At 41.5% G+C, this 24,967-nt stretch overlaps 1 protein-coding gene and 1 pseudogene across 9 annotated transcripts in view, besides 2 other annotated features; one reads left to right on the forward strand and one right to left on the reverse strand.

The window, feature by feature from the left end:
• MSI2 (musashi RNA binding protein 2) overlaps positions 1-24,967 on the forward strand; it is a 445,731-nt gene that overhangs the window by 416,310 nt on the left and 4,454 nt on the right. For 3 of the 9 annotated variants that reach the window (XM_005257015.4, XM_047435312.1, XM_047435315.1), the window contains 2 exons: positions 2,758-2,966; positions 7,389-12,529. The exons of 2 other annotated variants lie outside the window; for them this stretch is intronic. In XM_005257015.4, coding sequence (XP_005257072.1) covers positions 2,758-2,966; positions 7,389-7,430 — 251 coding nt within the window. In that variant the 3' untranslated portion in view covers positions 7,431-12,529. Of the gene's footprint in view, positions 1-2,757; positions 2,967-4,826; positions 4,900-7,388; positions 12,530-24,967 lie in introns of those variants that run through there. 4 more of the 9 variants (XM_047435311.1, XM_047435316.1, NM_001322250.2 and 1 more) reach the window with 3 other exon arrangements.
• Positions 3,714-3,783: a silencer, noted in NCBI's record as "silent region_8750". NCBI's record gives its function as "represses an Ori minimal core promoter by ATAC-STARR-seq in GM12878 lymphoblastoid cells {active_cell/tissue: GM12878}" and the evidence as "EXISTENCE:reporter gene assay evidence [ECO:0000049][PMID:35858748]".
• Positions 4,052-4,551: an enhancer, noted in NCBI's record as "H3K4me1 hESC enhancer chr17:55753573-55754072 (GRCh37/hg19 assembly coordinates)". NCBI's record gives its function as "activates a minimal SCP1, AML or CMV promoter by ChIP-STARR-seq in naive H9 embryonic stem cells {active_cell/tissue: H9 hESC(naive)}" and the evidence as "EXISTENCE:reporter gene assay evidence [ECO:0000049][PMID:30033119]".
• On the reverse strand, positions 13,369-13,432 carry RNU7-134P (RNA, U7 small nuclear 134 pseudogene; annotated as a pseudogene).

Raw genomic sequence — 24,967 nt, forward strand, 5'->3', positions numbered from 1 at the left:
CCGTGATGAGCAAGTGCGTAATAAAACGGGACTTGGGATTTGAAAGCTGCATTCTAATACAGTGTCTTCTCCACGGTGATTTTAGTGTCATTTGATGGAGGAGGACTGAGCAAGGAGGGGTAATATAGACCTAAGATGAGCTGCTTATTGTGAAATTCCCTTCAGGCCGACTCAGAAACCACAGGCCTCCCCACACACAGGAATGGGAGCGGTTGCCAAGGATGGGCATAATACCAACAGCCCTTTTGTCTTCTATCTAAGCCTGCAGAAGGGGGTATTTCTGAACAGCACCCTTCTGTGGGCATGCTACATCCTGTCTCCGAGGCTGCTTCTGCTGGCTAGATTAGTCTCTAGGTGGCTCTCCTGCTGGAAGAAACGGAAACCTAAACCTGCCTCTCCCCACCCATTAGTTAGGTGGGCCTGCCCAACACCTTCCTGGGTTCACATCCGGCCAGACAAGAAAGAAGCCAAAAAACTTTCCGTCTACCACTGCGCCTCCTCATGCCCACCCCATCCTATTAGCCTAAAATGGAACGGGCTAATTAGTTTATTTGTATAGGGAGGGGTTTCAGCTGCCTGGACAAAACCAGGAGTCCACTGTCCAAGCTTCTTCTGTTTTCCTGAGCTCAGAAGAAAAAAAGTGTGTTAGACTAAGATAATACCGCCTTTTGAATATCTCGGCTTCATATTTGCCTCCATGAGTGAGAGGGCCAAGTGTTATCTGCAAGTTGAATCTTCTATATTCAAAAATCTCCATCCCTTTTTTCTGCCAGCGCATTCCCAGATCAGCCGTTCACTTGCTCTAAGCCTCTATAATTTATTTTTTTCTTTTCTCTTTAACCTGCTCTTTCCATTGGCCAGTTTATTCATTTCTCAGCTACAGCTTCAGAGGGGCTCACCTTCGGGCTTCCCGCCCCAAGGGCATCTGGAGGCTTCAGTTCTGTTTTCTCTGCTGAGTCAGGAGCCAGGCCCAGCTTGATTTGGTCTCCCGTGTATCTTTGTGTCTCTGTCTCAGTCTCCTGCTAGTGTGCCTTGGGTGCCTCATCAATCTCTTCCCATCCCTGTGACAAGTGGGTGAAAATCAATCCACTTCTGGCTCTTCCAGGCCCACCAGAACTGAGGGCCTCAAATCACAGGCCCCTGGGAAAGGGAGGGGCCAAAGCCAGGAGTGACCCCACCTGCATCGATGTTCTTTGCCTCTGCCATTGAAGGCAACTGGTCATAGGGCAGAGGGGGAGAAGCCAAGGGAGGCAGAAGGGAGAAGTGATTGTTGCAAGGAGCAGCCCTCTGGAGCCAAAGATGTGAAAGTGTGACTCTCAGAATGTCTGGTTCTTTAAGACGGGTTAGCCGTAGCCCAAAGGTAGCCAGCCCAGACTCACCTTGAGGCTTAAAAATCAGTAAGAACTTCCTTTAACAATTAAAAAAATATTGTTTTCCATTTTGGAAAAGAAAATAAAGTTTAAACTACTAAGGAGAAATAAAGGTGAGACAAAATTAACCTGGTTAACTGGTTGACAGGCTGCGGCCCTCATTAGGGTCAGAATGATGGGATTGGGGGGGCCGAGGCAGTGTCACCTTCCGCTGCCCCCCGATCTGCAACCCCACCACTCTCTGGATTTGTGCGTGTCAAGTCCACTCTCTCTGTAGCAAAGGTACATCCTGAGCCTGCTGTTCTCACTCTGGAGTTGACATTGCAGGATAACCAAGAGAAAGCAGGTGTTTTGGTCAGCTATGGTTTAGCTATGAATTGGTTCAGTCGGTATGTTCTGCATTCATACTTCTTTGTCTTTTTTTTTTTTAAACAAAAGGAAAAAAAGTTTAAATCCCCCCTTTCCTTCTCCTGCAGGAGGTGAGTGTGTGGGTGTCCTGTAGAACCATTGGCTTCCACCCCAGCTCTGGCCCCAGCCTCCAGGTTTACCATTCCCCCCCATCCCTCCCTCCATCCCCTTCTCTCCACCCCAAAAGGAAACTCTCTGCCGCCATCATTACTGTTATGTCAAGATGCCCAAACTCTCCATAACATATCCCATCCTCCGACCACGTTCAGTATTGATGACTTTCATTCAGTGTTATGAATGGGAAGGGCGGGAAGGGAGGGAGTAGCCAGTGGGGAGGGGCGGGTGGTGGGGGTGGGATGGAGAATGGAGATCTTTTTTGTCTTTTTTAAAAAAAAAAACAAAACAAATTTGTCATTTAATGGATCCAAAAACCAAAAAGAAAAAGTGAAACACACACACAAAAAAAGATCAAAAATCCCCTCTGCAAAGATTTTTTTTTTCCTGGACACAAATTGCTTTGTTTCCTGTCACGTTTTAATATCAATATTAACACAATGTGTAGTCTAAAACTAGTTCCTTTGTAGTTTGCATGGGATGTGAATGCTGTCTCAACGTGCCCAGATCTAGAAGACTGCATGAGCATCAATTCAGATGTGAAAAAAAAACTCTCTCTCTCTCTCTCTCTCTTCCATATATATCTCTATTTCTATTGTGATAATTTGGTGGGCAGTGAAGCACCTCCGGTTGGTTGCCGTAGTGTGTTGAATGATTGTTTTTTTATTCTCTATATTTTTGGAGCTCCAAGCTTCTTAGTAGTAGCCTGGGCTGAGTATTCTTGAGTCCCTGCTGATGTTTTCGCATGGCCTTGGTTGAGTGTTAGAAGTTGGGCCTCAGCTGTTTTTCTCAAGTGTTTGGCTTGTAATGACCGGTGCATGCCTGGCTTCTGGCCTCATACCCAGCTCTATTCTCTGCACACCAGTCCTGAATAGCTACAGTGCTCAACCGAATTTTGGCGCGCCCGCTTCCCCGGCAGGCTCCAACCCGGCGCGGCCCGGAGGCTTCCCGGGGGCCAACAGCCCAGGACCTGTCGCCGATCTCTACGGCCCTGCCAGCCAGGACTCCGGAGTGGGGAATTACATAAGTGCGGCCAGCCCACAGCCGGGCTCGGGCTTCGGCCACGGCATAGCTGTAAGTACCTGCCTTCCCCTGCCCTCCTGCCTCCTCCTTCCTGACCAGCTCCTTGTGGCCTGTGGGTGTGCCAGGAAAGCCCAACATCGGGGGCAGAGGAGAGGACAGAGGGTCCCCATCAACATCACACCAGCTCCTGAGGGCTGAAGCCTCCGTCGTCTTAGAGGTGTCCTGGGTGCCTCTCGTGTGGCTGTGTGATGGAGCAGAAGGAGCATGGGCAGGTCCGGTTCAGATCACCACTCCATCACCTTCACACAGTGCATCCTTGAGCCACTTCGATAACCCGTCTGAATCTCATTTCCCTGGCTGCAAAACCAGAATCTCTATGCTTTCCTCAAAAGATTGTGGGAGGATTATTCGAAACAGTGTCCCACGCTGGCACGTAATAGGGCCTCAGTAGTGGCCACCTTCCTTGATCCCCGCTTTCTGGACACTGTCATGTGGGCTGGGACCTGAGAGCTGGGAAATGTCCCAGCTCCCCACCAGAGTAGCAGCCTTAGTCAATAGAGCCCCTGATCTAAGGTCCAGTGGCAGCGCTGGAGCCCGGGAGGTGGTGTGGGGATCCAAGCCCTCTCCCAGGCAGTTTCCTTTGCTAATGTTTCTTACAGTTTCCAGGTTCCAAGTAAGTTCCCATTTGCGTTCCTTAGCTGCAGCCTCCACCCCTTGAAGGCCAGATGCATTTGATATTTGTAATGCTCTGTGGTTCTATAATCTGACTAATCCAGGCAATGGAAATTTGCTTAACAGATTTGCATGCTGTTTTCAGATTGTGTTGTTCTTCTCCCTCCCGGTGTGTGTGAGCATGAATGTGCCTGAGCCCACTTGCTCGCTGTCCCTTCCATTTTGGAAACAGAAAATTGGCCAACCTTTGCCCTAGCCAGCCTCAGCATTTTGGAGGCAGTTTGGTTTTGAGCTAAGATGGGTGCGTCTGCAGTCCCAGGCCACGTTCCTGTCAGACTCCGCTTCTGAGTGACAGCTGGCAAGCCCTGACTTGGGGGCCACGCTGCGGAGAACAAAACATGTGCAGACAGTCTAGGGCACCAAGGTGGCCTCATTCATGCCCCCTGGCATTGGGAGCTCCTCCCTCATACACACACTCACACGCACGCATGCATGCACACACGCACACAGACATGCACGCACACGCACGCACACACGCACACACAGGCGCACACACGCCTGCCAGCCCTACTTGTGCAGGATGGGTCCTTGTTCAGCTCCGCTCCCAAGCCAGTATCACTTAAGTCAGTAGTCTGATGAATCTAATCCCTTCGGATCAACTGTGGTACCAAATCCAGAATAATATTATTCACCTGAGAGCTGCTCAATTTAGGGGACCGTCTATCACCACTTATAACACAACTTATTTCCATATTCAGCATCCAGAAACACAGACCCAATTTGTTCTTGAAAACCGGGGTCTTTTGACCTGTGGGCTGTGATGTTTTTCTGAAATAACCAGAAAGCATCCCAGTTTGTCTGCACTGGGATTTCTTCTCCCCAGCTAGAGCCGTTGGGACTGCGGACAGAGACTTATCTTTGCACTCTGGGGTTCAGGGCAACATGCCCATCACTGGGGGCACAAACCCCCGTTTCCCACCATCCACCCACGCCTCTGAATCTGGCTTTTGGTTTCCCCCGGGGTAAGCAGATAGGCTTGGTAGGGGCGGAGGGAGTGGGGACTAGGGATTTGGAGCTGAGGAGGATGTCATCCTGGCCCCTCATGGCACGGTGTCTCAGAATTACATATTCATGCTGGCAACCACAGAACTAGTCCTAGAGATAATTTCCTTTCCCAGAATATGACAATCTGTTCCCATGTATAGCACACTGATGACCTTAACAATTGTGCAATTTTAGGGACCTTTGATTGCAACGGCCTTTACAAATGGATACCATTGAGCAGGTGCTTTCGTTGCCATCTCACTCTGAGGTATTACCGTCTCTGCCATGTGTCTCTGCCCTGCCGGTGTGTCCGTACATGTATGTCCACAGGTCATACATGCACGTGCGTGCCCCTGTCTCATCACATCCACATCTCTCTCTCCTCTTTCTGGACCCCTTTTCAGGAGGGTGGGGGCAAAAGCAAATCCAGTCGTTTAATCTCTCATCTCTTCCTCCAGCTTTTAATCATGACCCCCACCTTTTTGACTCTCTCTCTTTTTTTCTTGATTTGGTTCTTTGGATTCTTTTTCTGTATCTTCCCCACCCTTCATCTTTCTCTGTCTTGAAATACAATCAAGAGTGTGGGAAACTGGAAGGAGATCTCGTGCTGTGCCCGTCCCAGGGGGATAGAGGCAGGGAAGCATTGGGCTTCTGCTAGGCCTGGAAGCAGGGATGGGGGCCAGGGCCACCCACTCCTGGAGGTCCTTTGAGCTGGCCCTGTGGGTTGCTGGGCCCCTTCAGCTCCCCAGGCCTTGCTGGGGCTCAGCCAATGGGGTTCATGCAGTCAAACAGCCAGACTCCATCTTTTAGTGAAAAGAAAACGTTTTTGCCAGTAACTACTGAGTAATTATCCAGATTACTGCACGAAAAGCAAATTAAATTAACGACATCACCTGTGTAACATGGATTTGGATCCCTGCCAGTTTCCTAACCTTTTAAACTGAGCTCAAGTTAATTAAACATTTTTTCAATCACTTTGATGGGGATATGGGGGAGGACGGAAGAGAGGAGAGGGAGGTTGGGGCAGTGAGGAAGCCCCTTGCCACACACTCCTTTGGAAATGAGTATCTGTCCTTCTTGGGAAGAACACCAGCAAGGGAGAGGGGTTGTCCTTGTGAAAGCGCTAGATGTGTACTGTGTTAGCACGTTAAGTTTGTGAGGTTGGAACATGGATCTGTCTCTGGAAAAGAGAGGGTGACAGCTGAGGCCAGGGAATGGATTCCACTCGGAAAATCCCACAGAGGCACCAAAGCCTTTCAATCTTGGAGTTGGGATGTAGGAGAAGCAAGGCTGGAGATGAACTGGCCACTTTGGGCTTGCACTTCATTGGATGCCTCTCTCGTAGAGAGGGATTGCTCCTGGCTCCTGAGTCGGACCAGGTGGAGAACTGGGTTGAGTTGAGCTCCATAAATCTCTTGGATTTCTCTAATGTTGCTGCTAAGGGATCACCTCAACTAACGCAACTGCCTCTCTTAACCAAATAAACCATGTGTGTGAATTCTCCCACCCCTCGCCTCCACTTCCCCTTGAGCACTGACCCAGCCATTGCTGGCCAGAGCCAGAGGCCACTAACAGTTTGAAGGAAAGCTACTTGCTACTAATTAAGCTGGGTTTGGGGACCCAGAGGAAGTAAGGTTTCTCTGAGAACAGGGACAACTGGTATCACCAAGAACTCTGGAGACTGAAGATGGCTCCAGCCCTTTGTGGAGTCAGATGAAGAGGGGGTTAAACAACTACCAGGCACAGCAGACCCTTGAAAGGCCAGACACTGGGGCTGCCTGTGCTCCCTCCCTCCCTCCCCTGGAAGAGAAGGAGTGGTGCAGGGCTTCCTGCCCACAGCTCCATATAACCCCAAGGCCACTAAAGCCTTTCCATAGGGGTGGGGTGGGGTGGAATGGGATGGGGGAGGCTGCTACCAGCCCATCCTCCCTCATCTAAGTCTAGGACTCAATTTCCAGAGAAGGATGAAGTAACCAAGAGTGTGGTAGCAACTCACCCCCTTCCAAAATGGATTAGGTGAGCTCATAGAGTCAGATGGCTGCACCCGCAGCACTTAGGAAGGACTGGTCAAACACACCCATTGTCCCCAACCCTCTGACATTCAGCGCCATCCACAAAAGAGGAGCCCAGGCCCCCTACTCCCAGTCAATTCAGGGAGACTCAGTAAACACATCTGTGAATCCTGGGCCTGTTTTTGTTTCCTGTAACCAAAGCCGGTTATTTGTTGTATATTTTTAGTGTCATGACCTTTAGTTTTTGGTATATGATATGATCTTTTAGTGTAAGTTTGCATTTAAAAGTTATCGATGGGTATCTAATAAAGGCAAGTTTGTGGGGTTTTTTTTGTTTGTTTGTTTGTTTTTTTAACATTTAGCTTTGAAAACAGAAGTTTAAACAGAAAAAAGGTATCTCAGGTCAATGGGCAGTTTGCCCACCTGGCTGCAATCCCTGTAAGCACATTTCCCACCACTACCTCAACAACCCTATGGTACTATATCAAATCAGCAAAAGAATTGAAGCCTTGTCCTCTCCCCAGTGTCAGGTATGGTTTAGATGTCAGATTTCCCAACCTGTGATCTCAGTAAGCTTCTAGCCAGGTGATTCTCGTGCGTATTCAATAGTCCAGTGAAGTCCATCTTTGAAACTCTAGTTAAAACAGTGGAGGAAATCGCATACTTGTCTGACACTTCTTTCTCCTCCCCTCTCCCCTCCATTTTATGTTTTCTTCTGGACATCCTGGCCTTCCCTGCCCTGCAGAGCATACCTGGATGTCCAGGCAAGACTGGGCGAAGTTTCTGAGTGGCCCTTTGTTTAGGTGATGTCCTCAGACCTGGACCCCCACCAGCCTCACTCCCCATCCCAACCAGAGATGGCTCACTTCGGATCGAGGGTTGACTACATCTCATCATCTCACGAATCTGCTGTAATATAAGACAACAGCTTTTAAATGTGTATATAACCCATGATTTCGGTTTTGTTTTGTTTTGTTTTTCTTGATGGTTTCCCTCTCCCTCCCTCTCTTCCCATTCTCCTTTTAAATCTCTTTGAATCACATTTGGTAGTGATTTTGACTTAGTCCAGTAGTCACATAGCTTTAATATCTAGTTCAAAGCTAACCATAGTATAATTGTTATATTAAGGAGTTATTTTTTCTTAAAACATTTTTTTTTGCTTGTTTTGGTTCTGTTCTCACTTTTAAAGGATGCTGAGATGGTAATATGACTCTCCATATTTTGGTACCAATTCTGAGACTGTATGAATTTTCAGGTGGAACTTTAGCACACACTGAAGCAAAGTTGTGAAGTGCAGGGCGGGAGGTGGGCGTGAGCTTTCTATTTTGCGTTGTAGAAGAAGTGAGATGTAGTAAGCTAATTAACAGACTTTCTAGCAGTTCTTTTTGTGATGTCTCTTTGTTAATCTGAGTCTATCTATTTTCGGCAATAAGGTAAGGACGACAGTGTTTTGAGTGTCCTCCTTTTCTATAAGTGCTTTTTTTCTGTTGAAAGAGGTGATATTATAAGGTTTTTTGAAATTGTGAATTCTAAAAAAGAAATGTTGTAAATACAATTCCATTAACTACATAGAAACTATTAAGAAAGAGAGAATCAAAAATATTTTTGTGAGGGAGTCGGTCCCAGGCAGTTTGATGCTCTGTGGAAGGAGGCGGGAAGGGAACGTTGGCCAAGTCAGTTACTGAGATGAAGATCGCCCAGCTGCCAGGACCACCCCAGGACAAGTTAGAGCACTGTTTAGCTCCTTTGTCTGTGTGATAGACCTAAGAACTGTATTAGTGTTGTACCAGCCTATTAACCTCTTGTCTGTGCACAGCTTCAAATGTTACCGTCTAGTTAGATTTTTATTTAAAATATGAAAAACTGCTTTTCCCAAGATGTTTTTTAAAAACAAAGCTACAATTTTAATATTTAACATATTTAAAGTTTCAAAGCACACCTGTTTGGCTTGGGTGGGGGTGGGGTGGGGGGGACATTCTTTTTCAGTCTTAATTTTTAAATATTTGATCATTTTCTATTGTCCAATCATTTCAGCACCTCCAAAGGTCCCTAGGACACTTTGCCTCTCTTCTCCCCCTGCCCCCCACCCTGCTCCCACATCTGGGGGCCCATGGGCCAGGAGTGGATAAGCCTGCATTAATACAACCTTTCTCCATTCACTTTCTATTTACAAATTAGGAAAGCAACCTTTTGGTTTATATATATTTTTTTTAATACCTCAGTGCTGCAAGTATCACCAGAGAGGCTATGGAAGAATTTTTTTTTAATTTATTGTAGATGTAAACAGAATTTTAAAAATAAAAAGTATAAACATCACTGCACTGTGACTGGTGGGAAAAACTGACAGTTTCCTCTTTGCACATGTTTAACATTTGGCTGTTATAATATATGGTCCTCGGTTGGGGAAAGATACTTATGATGAAGGATATTTTTTAATTTAACTTTTTTTTAAATATTGGTAATAGGTCGGCAACAGCAACTATAGAAGTACAACTCAATAGATGGCATTAAAACATATTGTAGTGTGGATATATATTTTTTCTTTTTTAAAATGTGATATTGACGTTTTATTAATATTTTTTAAATTGTTACGTTTATAAATTTGGTACTTAAGGCACAGCCAGTATGAGACACTGAATGCGACATTTATTATAAAGAGCTGCTGCACTCCTATTTTTATAAATTTTACTAACAAAGTAGACTAATGTAGACATTCACAGACATGGTAGGGCAAAAGCATCTTCAAACTAAAGACTCCAAAATGCTAACTCAGAAAGAAAGAAAAAACCCGTTTTCAATTCTAATGAAACAGCAACAACATTTTTTTTAATTAAAAAAAAAATCATGTTCTTTGTTTTTCTAATAAAATGTTAGGTTGTTTGGTGAGGTTTTTTTGTTGTTTTTTTCCTTTCTTTGTTTCTTTTCTTTTCCCCCAAACAACCAGATTAAATGCTGAGCGCTTTTAAAATATCAAAACTTGTTCAAGTCATAAAACAACAAAACATAAGTTTTATTTAAAAAAAAAAAAAGAAAGAAAAAATAGTAAATTCCCAGAAATTCAGTGTTTAGACGAGGGAATTTAATTCCTATTTTGTCCATGTTGGTGATGTACTGTACTTCCCTTCCTTTTCTCTGCATCCCCCATCACCTCATAGAAGACTCTTTGTTGATCATTGTATGTTAATAATGTATAAAATGGCTATCTTGTAAGCGTGCTGTCCTGGTACTAGTGTAGCGACTTTTTTTCTCCTCTTTCTTCTAGTACATATTGATAGGTATAACATAATTAAGGTTTAAAAAAAATTAGACATAGTTATTCAGATTTAGGACCAGTAAGGATAGAACTTTCTCTTATTTATGAAAAAAAATGCTAATAATTTTGGGGCAGTTTTTTCCTTTAATTATTTTTTTCAATTTCAAGTTTAATTTTATTTTAGCTGATCTGATGTGGTTTCAACTAACCCAAGGTCTCACCATGTTAAAATGCCGGCGGACTCTACGGCGTTTTGTAGATCCCCCCCCCCCCACCCACTGTGAAGGGGTGCCATACTACCTTAAATGCTAATGCTAGATATGCAAAACTGGATTTTTTTAATTTATTTTTTAAAAGAGGGAGGCATGGTATATTAAAATGATTTTACTAAGAGAAAAAATATTTTTTTAAGAATGCTCAGAAGAAATTGATAATCTGTGTGAATATGTTTTAGATGTTTATATACCTTTTGAAGAGACCCAGTAGCCCATAGCACAAATCTTGTGGAAATCCGATATGTTTTAATGTGGCTACCTAGGTTTAAGGTTCACGTTAGTCCCCCCATTCCATCTAGAAGTCCATTTTGAAAGATTTTTGTAAATTCTTTTAACACTGATGTTTCAGCCTCGTCTTTGTTTCAGTTAAGCTCAATGGCGAACATGGGAACCACCTTTCGCCTTCCCTGGGGGAGAAACCCTCTTGGCTGATGGCTTTTCCCCGGAATTATCAAACAGCCACCGGGTGACTTTCTGGCTTCCAGATCCATCTGCCTGAGACCCCCGAACTCCTCTCCTCCCAAGCAGAGGCGAGTGAGTGGCATTAGCTCCCGGACCCATTCCCGGTCCTAGCTGGGCATGGGGCTGACGGAGATGACCAAGCCTTGGTCTGCTCTCTAGCAGCTTCCACAGACTTGGCTCGTGGCCTTCCTTATATCCACTGGGAACAAACAGCCTCGCGCTCTATACCAAACAGCCTCGCGCTCTATCCCAGTCGCCCATTAGCTTGATTCAAACAAAGCCCCAGCAGGCCTTTGCGTTTTTATCCTTCATAACCTTCATCTTAATTTGAACTTGTAGCTTGGACTTTAAGGTAGCATGGCTCTATTGCTGTCAATTTACTGTTTCACTGCACAGCAATCACAGCCAGTGAATGTTACACACATCTTGCTAGACTAGTATAAAAATCATTGGGTAATTGTTGGTTCTAATGACCTGAAAGGTGTTCAGTTTTTGTTCTTGGTTTTGTTTTGTTTTTGATTTCTTGGGGGTGGGTTTTGCTTGTTGTTCCTTTTCATTTGGGGGTTTTTGGGGAAAAAATTTATTTTTGGTTCCAAATAGAAAAACAAAACCTATTTTGATCTTTAGTGCAAACGAGGGCTAGGGACTTAGCCTCCTCCACCACCTCCACACTGCTTCATTCTGCCATTCACTCACTGCAGCATATTCAAGAATAAAGCAATATCGTTTACTACATTTTTTATTGAAGGTCAGCCATGCTTTCTGTATTATATTGCATATGAAATTGTTTACAAAAGAAACACTAACTCATACTTCTCTTTATTGGTTGCAAGTGGCACGCAGGAACAGAGGGAGAGTGGGGGGCTGGTGGGGGAGGGGAGATTTTTTTTTTTTTTTCTTGAATGTGCTTCGCAAGCCAGGCTATCTTCCAAGGAAGGCAGACAGTGGGAGAGCAGAGGGACTGACTGCAGGCAAGCACATTGAAGAAAGACACTGGCGGGTTTCCCCACCCTCACCCCAAAGCAGAAAACTAGCAGACGTCAGCTCAGCCCCGTCCTGGGCACAGACACTACACAAGGAGACGCTGGAAGTTAAGCAATACTTTAATACTGTAATATGTTTGTTTTCTTTTTCTTTCTTTTTTTTCTACCAAAAAAAAGTAAGTAAACTAAAACACAAAAACATATAAATAAAATCCATCCCTCTTGTCGGGGACCTGCAGGGGGGCAACCTTAATCCAAACACCTGGCTATCAAATAATCAGAATGTATTGTCTCAGACAGGATTTCAGTTCCGGGAGGCAGGGGCATGATGGGGGAGGGGGCCGGAGGCTGAGAGACAAAAGTTCCAGAGCCTCCCTCGAAGGTTCTCTACTACTGTATTCTGTACATAATGTACCATCCCATGTGGAATCTGTGAGTGTCCTCTTAAGTAGCGTGGGCTAGCCAATCTGCCGTTCATGGTGTATTGTAAACTCCGAATTCCATATGTAATAGGATGCAAGTCTAAGCGTTTCATGTGGACATAAATGTATCTAAATAAAACTTTCCCTAGCACTGTGGCTGACCTCACCCTTACTTTTATACTTTAGTATGAAACTGATGAGAACTTTGGTAGTGAGTATTTTTTTTATATATATACATATATATGTACTATCTATATATATATCTCAAGCATCTTTCAGGTCTTTGTGTGTGGCTTTCTTAAAGCCCTGTTGTAAAAAATTACTATGTGGATGGCAGTCTCTCACATCACAGATGTGGAAAGTATAATTTTATATTTGTATTTTCAAATAAATAAGTTTGTGAAAGGTTTCCATCCTCTACTGTGGTCCAGAAATCAATGTGTTTGTCTGACAAAAAAAAAAATAAAATAAAATAAACTGTTTTGAACAGAGTTGTTTGGTGTTCTTTCACTTGCAGAGGAGGTCTGGGGTCTGGGAGAGCTGTTGTTTTGCTTGGGCGGGAGAGGATATCATCAAATCGCACCTGCCACCCTCACCCCTCAGCATGAATGCTGGCCGTGGGCCTCCAGCAGCGAAGAAGTCCCTGCCTTGTCCCCAGGGAGCTTGTGGCACCATTTTTATGAAGTGGCAAGAGAGCACTAAGATGGAAGAGCAGACGGGAGAGGGGTGTAGATTAACAGCAGAAGGTACACAGAACCCATGAGTGGACAGGGAATAAACCCCAAAGGTCCTGCGGATCAGAGGACCCAGATGGTGGAAGGAGCTAAGGGGCCCTCCCGGGTGCTGCCCTCAGTTATCAACAGTGCTGGGAGAAGGCGCCAAACCGCATTCCACGACCCCTGAGTAGGGGTCTGAATAGGTATCAGACCTCTGCCCTCAAGGAGTTTTAAGTTTTGCCTACTGGAAATCATTACAATCACAAAACTAAAGATGTAGAGATAGATCATCTACAATACTTTCCACCCCTCTCTCTACCAAACAAACGAGAGGATACAAAAGAATTGAGACCCAGTACATTGAGGGCAAGTCCCAATACCTGGTGATGACGGCTACAGCATGCTCTGAATCAGTGGATTCCTCAGCTTTGAAGCCCTGGAGAGAAACACCAGGCCAAGAGGAGTGCAAGGGATGAAGCGTGGATGAAGGACAGTGGCCCTTAGCTGCTTCCTCAAGGCCCCCAGGAAAGCTGTATTCTCCAGGACATGGCCTTCTTGGGTCCCTCCTCCAATTTCCTGTCTCCTGCATATAACAAGTTTATCTTTTTTGTAAAATGGGTCTTCCGGTGAAAACCAGAAAACCAGCTAGACAGGTTCTTTCAAAAAGCTGCAACACTAACAACTTTGTTTTAAGGCATTCCCGCTACACTGGGGTCCTAGAGGAGACAGTCGAAGGTGCATTCCTTTATCTGGAGCTGGAGGCAGGAGCACTGGGTTCCAGGCCCACCTCCTGTGTGTCCACAGACAGCACTCCACAGTGTCTCGTTACATTGTTTAGGGGCAGGAGAGAAGAGTATAATCCCTGCTGCCCCACAGAAATGAAAGACCAATGGAAGCTGATGTGAGAAATCCCTTTTAGGAATCCTGAGAGAAGTGAGCCAGACACATGAGGCCGGCCATCGTGGCCATGCTCCTCATCCTGATTGCTCAGCTCAGAGAAAGGGGAGGCCCAAACCCAGCCCAGGAGCCTAAGGAGAGAGGGAGCAGGGAACAGGAGCACCAACTATATGCCAAGTGGATCATACACATGCCCTGCTTAGTCCCACCTGTGCCACGTGACTATCTACATTGTAATGGTCAAATAAGGTGGATAATTTGCCCATGGTTGTATAGCTGCTGAGTGGCAGAATGAAACCCCATCTCCCATACATCCTGCTGCCCCTGGGTTCAAGCCTGGTGACAAATGTCAGCGTCAGTGTTGAGTGTGCCTGGGAGGGTGGGAGTGAGGCTTCTAACCTAGGTGCCTACCTGAGTCAACAAAATGCACTAAAAAAAGAGGTAGGACAGTACCAAGCTAGAGAACAACAAATTTTCCTGTTTTAATGTTTCATGGAGAAAAAATAAAAAAATAAAATAGAAAACAAATCAGCAAAAACTAGAAGGAAAAAGAAGAAACAACAATGTAAAATAAATAACACACAAAGTAGGATAGAAGGAGTGAGATCAATTGAATCTACCATTATCTAAATATGAATGGGTTGAATTTTCTATCATTACAAAATAGATGTGTTTAGAAAAAACAAAACCCGGTTACGTGCTGTGTATACAAACACACTTAAAGTGATGAAAATGGCTAACAATAAAGGGCCGACAAAGAGAAAATAGGCAAATACAAAGAACAAGGGCAAGAACTGAAATGTCAGTATCAGACAGAGTGGAATTTAAGGTTAAAAACACTCCACAGCAATATTATGTCATGACAAAAGACACAATCTATTAAGAAGATACAGTGGCAGTAAACTCTTATGTCCCAATTATCAGAGGAACTGAAGACTTTAAATCAAAAGCCACTAGAAATGCAGAGAACTTGATAAAAAATAAAAATACAGTTAGAGAGATTAATATACCTCTCTTAGAACTAGATGTATTTAATAGACAAAAATAAAGACATAGAAGAATTGAATAATGCAATTAGTAAACCTGATCTGATGGCTCTATATAACCTGATCTGATGGCTCTTCGAATAGAGTTTGCACATTTTTTTGGTTTATATTCATGGAACATAAAAATCAAATAAATTTTGGCCAGCAGCCCCCCCCCCAAAAAATTTTAGAAACAAATAATTAACATGTGGCTATAAATATTATAACTGTGTACAAATTAAGAAACATTCTGTTGGATCAGAGAGAAAAGTTAAAAAAGATTACATACAAACTGCCAAAAAGCAACAGAAAACACACATTATACCCAAACTTAATAGCATATAGCCAAAGCTGTACTCAAAATGTAAGCTTTAAATGCCTTCAGATGGAATTTTTTTTGGGGGAGGTGAAGGAATATATTACTTTTTCTCCTTAATAAGGTAGCAAATAGCAACCAAAAAAACTAGAAAAAAAGAAATTGATAAATAGAAGCTGAAAGCAATAGAATAGAAAACATAAGTCCAAAGGCTGTATTTTTATAAACAGTAATAAAATGGACAAGTGCCCCTGAATAAAGGGGAAATGAGCAAAAATATACAATATGAAGAATATGAAAGGAGTTAACAGAGAAAAGAATGAATATTGGCAACAAACCAAAAAATTCAGGGGAATCAGAAAATTTCTTAGCAAATATAAATTACCAAAACTAGTAAGAAGTGGAAAACCAGGATAAACTTAATATCACAAAAGATACTGAAATGATAAATAAAGATATAATACTGAAAAATAGACTGGATCCAAATGAGTTTTATCTAACTAATAATTCCAGCACCATTTAAACTATTCCAGATGATAGAGAAATATGGAAAGAAAGCTCTCCTGTTTTATGAAACACATGGCTTTGCTGTCAAAACCCAATACAGTAATAAAACAAAAAATATATCTACAGACTTAGGAGCTCAGATGTAAAAATTTGAAATATGATTTTAGCTAGTAGAATTCTACAATATATCAAGAGTGTAATTTAATATGGCCAAGCAGGACTTCTTTCAAGAATTCAAGGACATTTCAACATCAGGAAATCTGTCAACATCTATTATACTAGCAAACTAAAGGAGGAAAACCATATGACCATAACAATATGTGCTGATAAAGTATTTGAAAAATATGGCAGCTCTTTCTAATAACACCATGGAATGTTGAAACAGAAAACACTTTACCAAAAGACTATTAATATTTGCCAAACCAACATTAATTATTCTAAATTGTGAAACACAAAACCTGTTTCAATTAAAATAAGGAACTTGTAGGGGTGCTGCTGTCACTATTATTACCTTAAACCTTCTAAAAACTAAGATAACAGAAGACATAAACATTGGGAGGAAAAGACAAAGATGATTTTATTTCTAGAAATTTTAAAAGACTGCAGTAAAATAAAATGAATACAGAAAAATTGCTACTAAAATTCATGAAAACTTTGGCAAGATGGCTGGATGTAAGATAAATATACAAAAACCACTAGGCCTCCTCCTCTCCAGTAGTAAGCACTCAGTAATGGAAATAGGAAAAAATATTTAAGGATAAACTTTATAAGAGAGGTATATGCATTATAATAATGGTTGAATTCCCCATCACTAGGGAAATTATGGACTGAAGTATCAATATACAGCATATCATAGAAAATTAGGCAGCCATTAAAACAGGTAACCCCAGAATCTAACAAGTGGCTTGAAGAAATTTATGAAACACAGTTGAATAAGGTAAAATATCTTTGAAAAATACATATATATGTATGTGTGTGTATAAATGTACACACACACAAATTAAAACTACATATGTATATATGTGAAGATACATATGTGTATATACATCACATGTATGATGACATGGATACAAAGAAAGGGGTACACTCTAGGTTGTTTACATGGGCTCTGGGATGTGGGGCTGAGAAATAAGACAAGTGGGAGAGGGGGATAGGAAGAGGTGACATGCTGAAAAATATATGTTTAAAGATTTCACTGAAAATTCTGTAAGATACAATTTAAAAATTTTTTTAAGTGTGACTCTATGAAAATACAAATTTTCAAACAAAACTATTTTTAAAAGAGCTGGGATCCACATTCCAGTAATAATAATTACATCTCGACTGGTGAAATGGGGAAGACATTAAGTGGTCAAAGAGGATTCTGGCTTTTCCTGTCCTTTTTAATTTTTCAAAAGAAGTGTGGATTTGTATATTCAGCTGAGATAAAATTAACTTTAAAATTAGCTGTCTAAAAAAGGGAATACAAGAACGTCTGGGAAGAGAAAGTCAATTGTATGCAGTGATATGTGGGTTTTCTCTTTTTTTTTAATTGTACTTTAAGTTCTAGGGTACATGTGCTTATTAATAGTATGTTCTCTCTCTCTACATTTTAATAGAAAATATGTATCACTTTTTCATTTAAAAACTATTTCCATTTTTTGAATAATAAAATATGAACTGAGTTAATAGAAAAAGAAAAGGGTAGGGAATGATTCTGATAGGAGCAAAAGGTAGCTAGGAGCATGCCAAAAGAGTCCTGTGGTCAGGAAGCTGCAGGGACAGTGATATCCCTCTGGGAGAACGTGGTTTCATGTAAGCGCTAAATACAACAGTTTCAAGGCCACAATCCTTCCTACCTTCCAAAGACAATAATGCATTTTAAAAATCAGATACATTGAGGTATGAAATTACATATAATACAGTGCATCCATTTTAAGTGCACAATTCCACGAGTTTTGACAAATATATACTATACACCTGTTTAACTCCCTGCATAGTCAAAATAGAGAACCTTTCCATCACTTCAAAAATTCTCTTGAGCTCCTTACTGGCATCCCTGGTCCCAGACAATAACTGACCTACTGTTAGTCACTATAGCTTAGTTTTGCCTATTCTAAAGTTTCATATAACTTGAATCAAACAGGATGGATTCTTTGTGTCTGGTTTCTTTTGCTCAGCATGCGTTTTCAGATTCATCAATGTTTTGTGTATCAAGTACTTATTTTTATTGCTGAGTTGGTTTTCCATTATATAGATATACCCAATTTGTTTTCAGTTTTTGGCAATTATATATAAAGCCACTATAAACATTCATGGACAGGTTTTTGGTGAATATAATTTTTCATTTCTCTTGGGTAAATAGGGCGAAGACATTGGGTCATATGGCAAGCATATATTTAACTTTAGCCAACCTGTTTTCCAAAGTGACTGCAATATTTTGCATTACCACTAGACATTTTTCAGAGTTCTGGTTACTTTGTATTCTTGTTAGCACTTCGTATTGTTCAGTTTTTTTTTTTTTTTTTTAGTCATTCTAATGAATTTGTAGTAGTATCTTATTGTGATTTTTATTTGTATTTCTCTAATGAGTAATGATCTTGAGCATCTTTTTGCATGTTATCAACATCTGGATATCTTCTTTGATGAAGTACTTGCTCAAATCTTTCGCCCAAATTTAAAATTGGGTAGGGTGGGCATGGTGGCTTATGCCTGTAATCTCAGCACTTTCAGAGGCCAAGGCAGGAGAATCACTTGAGGCCAGGAGTTCAAGACCAGCCTGGGAAATATAGTGAGACCCTATCTCTACAAAAAAAAAAAAAATACAAAAATTAGCTGGTCATTGCAGTGTGCACCTGTAGTCCCAGCTACTCTGGAGGCTGAGGTGGGAGGATAACTTGAACCCAGGAGGCTGAGGCTGCCGTATGTCAAGATTGTACGACTGTACTCCAGCCTAGGTGACAGTGCAAGACCCTGTCTGTCTCTATTTTTTTGGTTGGGCTGCTTGTTTACATATTAAGTTTTAAGAGTATATATTCTGAATACAAGTTCTTTATCAAATACGTGCTTGCAAATATTTTTCCCAGTCTTTGGCTATTCTCTTTATTCTCTTAATGTTTTTCAAATAGCAAAAGTTCTTAATTTTTATGAAATCCAATTTATCAATCTTTTTAAATGGATTGTTCTTTTAGTGTCATATCTAAGAAATCTTTGTCTAACTCAAGGCACAACAATTTTATCCTATATTCTGTTCCACAAGTTTTATAGTTTCGCATTTTGCATGCGACCTAAGTCTGCACAGACCTAAGTCTGTGGTCCATTTTGAGTTAACATTTATGTATGGTGTGAGATATGGGGTCTGGTTTTTCTTTTATTCCACATATTGAAATCCAGTTGTTCTAGCACCATTTGTTGAAAAGAATATCCTTTCTCTATTAAATTGAGTTTTGTTGTACCTTTGTCAAAAATCAGTTGACTATTTGTGTGGGTCTTTCTGAATTCTCTATTCTGTTCTGTACCACTAATCAATCTCTCTCTCTTTCTCTCTCTCTCTCTCTCTCTCATCTATCTATCTATCTATCTATCTATCTATCTATCTATCTATATTGCCATACCACACTATCTTGGTTGTATCTTTATACTAAGTATTGCGATCAGGTAGAGTGAACCCACCAGCTTTGGTCTTTTTCAATGTTGTTTTGGCTACTCTAGTTCATTTGTTTTCCATATACATTTTGGAATGAGCTTGTTGATTTTTACAAGATAATGTGGCTAGGGTTTTAATTGTAATTGTGCTAAATCTATGGATCAATTTTAAGATAATTGACATTTTAGCAAGATGGAGTTTTAGAATCTATACACAAGGGACATTTTTCTGTTTAACTTTATGTCATCAATGTTTTGTAGTTTTCAGCATATAGAACTTGAACATAATTTGTTGGACATAATTCATGTTTTTCTGTGTGAGTTTAAAGGGTACTTAACTTAAAATTTTTTAAATTCCAATTGTTCATTGCTCATGTATAGAAATACAGTTGAACTTTGTATTTTGACCTTCAGCCTTGTTAAACTCCCTTATTAATTCTGGCAGCTTTTTTATAGATTCATTGGGACTTTCTATGTAGATAATCATACTGTCTGAAAATAGTTTCATTTCTGTCTTTTGTTAAGCTGTAGGCCTTTTATTTATTTTTCTTGCCTTATTCACTGGCTAGGAGCTCTAGTACAATGTTGAACAAGAATGTCAACAGCAAATATCCCTGACTCATTCCCTATCTTAAAGGTAAGTGGTCAGTCTTTCATCATTAAGTATGATGTTAGCTGTAAGTTTTTTGTCAATGCCTTTTATTGAGTTAAGGAGTTCCATCCTATTCCTACTTTGCTAAGAGCATGTGTGGATGCTGAGAGCATGTATGCAGCATAAATGGATGTTTAATTTTGTCAAATGTTCTTTGCATATATTGAAATGGTCATATTGTTTTTATACTTTAATCTGCTGATATTGCGATTATATTAACTAAGTTTTAAATGTTGAACCAGCCTTGCATTCCCAGTATAAGCCCACTGGGTCATGATATATTATCCTTTTTACATATTACTAGATTCTGTTTGCTAATATGTTCTTAAGGATGTTTGTGTCTATGTTAATTTGTACTGTTATTTTCTTTCAATTTCTTTGGTATCAGAATAGTGATGGCCACATAAAATGAGTTGGGAAATAGTTCTTCTCTTCTATTTTTTAAAAAAGTTTATATAGAATTAGTATTATTTCTTCCTTAGGCCCAATAGTAATTCATATTAGACAATCAATTATGTTTTAGAGGGAATGAAAATAAGGGGAAGACCCTTTCATATGTACCTTTATTTTAACCATTTTCAGTCATCTTTATTTCTTTGTGTAAATCCAAGTTTTCTTTGGGTATCTTATTTTTCCACCTGAAGAACTTCCTTTAATACTTTTTGTAATGCAAATCTGCTGGTAATGAGTTTTTGGTTTTTGTTTGTCTGAAAAAACTATTTGTTTCTCTTTCACTTTTGGAAGATACTTTTGCTCAGCATAGGATTTTGTGTTGACAGGTTTTGTTTTGTTTTGTTTTGTTTCTTTTCAGTACTTTAAAGATGTTACTCCATTGTCTTCTGGCTTGCATAATTTTGATGCTAAATCTACTGTTGTTTTTTTCTTAATTTTACCTCTCTCTCTCTTTATCCTATCTTTGCTTTTCAACAGTGTGATTACGATGGGTCTAGATGAATGCATGGGCTTTTTTTTTTTTTCTCTTTGTTTTGTCTCTTTGTTTAATTTATTCTGCTTGAGATTCTTTGAACTTCTTTCTGTGGTTTCATGTCTTTCATTATTTTGGAGACATTCTCATCCATTATTTCTTCAGATATTTCCTCTGTCCCATTCTCTTTCTCTTCTCTTCCTGGGATTTCAATTACAGAATGTTTGACCATTTGATATTCTTCCACACCTCTTGGGTACTCTTTTTTTAACTCTTTTTTTCTCCTTGTGTTTAATTTGTTCAATTTCTATTGTCCTATTTTCTTTTTTCTTTTCTTTTTGAGACAGAATTTCACTCTGTCGCCCAGGCCAGAGTGCAGTGGCGCGATCTTGGCTCACTGCAAACTTCACCTCCTGGGTTCAAGCAATCATCCCACCTCAGCCTCCCGAGTAGCTGGGATTGCAAGTGTGTGCACCACACCTGGCGAAATTTTGTATTTTTAGTAGAGATGGGATTTCACCATGTTGGCCAGGCTGGTCTCACACTCCTGGCCCACCTGCCTCTGCCTCTGCCTCCCAAAGTCTGTTGACCTATTTTCAAGTTCACTGATTCCTTCTTAAATTGTATCAAGTTTACGGATCAGCTAGTTAAAAGTATTTGTCTCTGTCACTTTTTTCTCCTAGCATTTCTGTTTGACTCTTTCTTGTAGTTTCCCTCTCTCTACTAAAACTCTACATCTATTCATGTATGTTGTTCATCTTTTCCACTCTAGCCTTTAATATATAGTAAGCATAGTTACTTTAAGTTTCCTATGTGATGGCTTCAACATCTGGGTCATATTTGAATCTGGTTTTGTTGACTGCTTTGTTTCTTGACAGTGAGTTATTGGTCTTGTGTTTGGTGTCTCATGACTTTTGATTGAAAGCAAAACATCTTTAGAACAGTAAAGGCTGTAGTAAATATGCATGCCTCTTTTTCTGCTAGGCAAGGGATCTGCAAACTATGGTCCTTGGGCCAAATCAGGCCTGTTGCCTATTTTTGTATGGCCTATGAGTTAAGAATGGTTTTTATATTTTTAAATGTGTCAAATGGATATCAAAAGAAGAATAGTAATTATACAACATAAGACAATTATATAAAACTCAAATTTCAGTGTCTATAAATAAAGATTTATTGGAACATAACCATGTTCATTCATTTACATATTGTCTATGGCTGCTTTCATGCTTCAACAGCAGAGTTGAATAGTTGCAACAGAGCCCACATGGCCCACAACACCTAAAATATTTGCTATATACTGGTCCTTTGTAGACAAAGTTTGCCCCTTGATGTGGGTGGTTGAGTCAATCTAGTCAGAAGTTGACTTGGATTTGGGTTTTGCTGCTCTAGGTTTGGGTTTTATCTTCAGTGCACCACCAGCTTTAAATTCCTCTAGCATTTTCTTATTCTTAAGATGGAGGCTGGGTTGCCAGAGGGTTTTTCTCAGTGTTTCTGCTTCACTCTTAGCCTTAGGCCTTCCTTGTGTGCTTGTGCCTTAGCCTTGTCCCTGGGTGTTGTGATCTGCCCGTCTCCCAGCAGAAGGAGATTCCTCTTAGTCTGGTCCCAGATGGTTTCCTTCCCTCCTCCCGAAAGCTAAGGCTTTTGTTACATGGAGGACAAAACCCAGTGTAAGCTCCATGTTTTTCCAGGCTGTGGGGAATGGGCTAATTAACAGTTTTGCCACTTTTTGGCAAAATACCTTTTTTTTTTAGAAGGCTAAGCACAAACAAAATTAAGACATACATTGAAAGTATGTTCATGCTAAACCTATCACAGATCTGTACATCACTCTGTAGGATTAGGCAGATTAAAGTAGCTCATCAGTACACAACATGGCCTTAGAATCCCTGGCCCCTTTTTGGTTTAACCAGACTTAAGTTCCATGAACTCCCTGGCTTGATAGGTTAACTGCAGTCCCAGACCTCTGGTTGCTTAACTCACCCCTGGTCCTAACCAATGTGTACATCCTCAGGTTCAGTGAGTACTATGCCAATGCTTAAAAATAATTAATAACTCATGCAATGATTATGTGAATTTGCACTAAATGTAAGTGCTATAATTATGTCAAATCAAAAGCTGAGCATAGAACATAGAAAATCTTCGGGGAGATAAATTGAACCCTTTGGTTTCATTGAGGAAAAATCATCAAATCACAGCATGTCATAGCTGAAAAAGCACTTTGAGAACATCTAGTTTACCTGCTTCACTTAACCAATGAGATAACCAAGGCTCAGAGAAAAGTAACATGAGAAAGTTCACACAGCTAGTTAATAGTGTGGGAACTATTACCTTTCGAATTAAAAGTAGGGAGGAGGCAGGGAGCCTCTGGGTCTTTGTGGAAGGGGGCGGAATATTGGGAGGAAGAGTCCCAGGCCTGCTTCTATTTCTAACTAGCTGTGTGGCCTAGCTAGTGAGTATGACTCAGTCTCCCTCTCTGCCATCTGTCTGCCCTGCCCCTTTCCTGGGGATTATATTAGCTGAGAGGTGTAATGGCACTTCATTAAGACCTTGGGGGAGCTGTGCTACAGGGATCCTGCGGTCACCCAGGACTTACTTCCCTCCATTTTCTGAAGATGAGGCTCAGGGCACAGCCCGATGCAGTGAGACAAAGAAGACAGGTACAGAGTCCAGCTCCTCAGCCTGGAGGTTCCTGCCCTTGACTAGTATAGGCACCGTCTCTTCTGGATCAGTCAGGGTCTCATCAGGAAACCAGAAGCAGAGCTCTCTGTGAACAGAGATAAATTAACATAAGGACTCGATTAAAAACCTCTGAGGGCATCACAAGGGTGATTCTAGGGATACCCCCTATATTAGTCTGCTGTGGTTGCCATAACAAAATACCATATACTGGGTGGCTTAAACAACAGACATTTATTTTCTCATAGTTCTAGAAACTGGAAGTCCAAGATCAGGGCGCTGACTGTTCTGGCTTCTGGTGACGGCTCTCTTCCTGGCTTGTAGATGACCACCTTTTCCACTGTTTCCTCACACGGCCTCTCCTCACTGTGCGTGTGTGTGGTGAGAGAGAGAGAGCTCTCTGGTGTCCCTTCTTATAGGAACACTAATCCTATCGGATCATGGTCCCACTCTTATGACCTCATTAACCTTAGTTACTTCCTTGGAGGCTTCACCTCCAGATACAGCCACACTGGGGGTTAGGGTTTCAAAATAGGAATTTGGGGAGACATGAATATTCGGTTCCTAACACCCCCCCAAAAAAGCTGGAAACTGGAACCTATTGTCACTACTAGGTGAAGACCCACTGCTGAGGCATGCTGCCTGGAGCAGTAAGTAGACAGGAAGAAGGATGTCCTTCCTCCCTCCTCCCGCCATGTTGGGAGAGCCTGGCATGGATCCAGCTGGCAAAGTGGCAATGTCACGGCAGAGTGTGGAAGGCTGAGTGTGGAGCTGAGAGGAACCCTCTCCAGCCAAGACAGACCATGGAACCAGAGCAATCAAACATTTATTGAGTACTTATTATGTAAAATAGTAAAAGTCACATTCACTCCCCAGGATTACCTAAAATCTTGAAAGTCATATTAAAGTTTTTAGAATTAGAGCTGGGCTCAGTGGTTCATGCTAGCAATCCCAATGTTTTGGGAGGCCAAGGCAGGAGGATCTCTTGAGGAGTTCCAGGCTGCCTGGGGAACATAGCAAGACCCCTATCTCTACAAAAAAATTAAAAATTAATCAGGCATGCCAGCAGGTGCCTGTAATTCCAGCTGCTTGGGAGGCTGAGGCAAGAGGATCACTTGAGCCCAGGAGTTCAAGGCTGCAGTGAGCTACAATGGCACCACTGCACTGCAGCCTGGGCCACAGAGCAAGACCTTATCTCTAAAAAATAAACAATTTTAAAAATAAATAAAGAATTAGGCATTTGGTCAGTGGGCACTGGGGTAATATGGATTTGAGTAAAGGGGTGATGTGATCAGCTATCCTTTCTTCCTTCACCCAGTCCTACCCATCCTTCTTCCCCAAACTCTTGGCACACTCTAGACTCTCCTCTTTTACATTGCATACCTTCTCTGCTCATTTGCTATACATCAGCAACTTAATACACAGCATGATGAGCTTAGGAGAATATTCCATGGGACCAGAGCTATCTCTGTAGCTTCACTGTAAGCCAGGGAGGGGGTGTGAGGTTTAGACCATGGAAGGTCCTTAGGGGATGTGGTGAGAGTGAGATGGGAAGTACCTGGTCAGACCCACCCCATCAACAGCCTGTCTT

Source organism: Homo sapiens, chromosome 17, assembly GCF_000001405.40.
Source record: "Homo sapiens chromosome 17, GRCh38.p14 Primary Assembly".
Classification (NCBI taxonomy): Eukaryota; Metazoa; Chordata; class Mammalia; order Primates; family Hominidae; genus Homo; species Homo sapiens.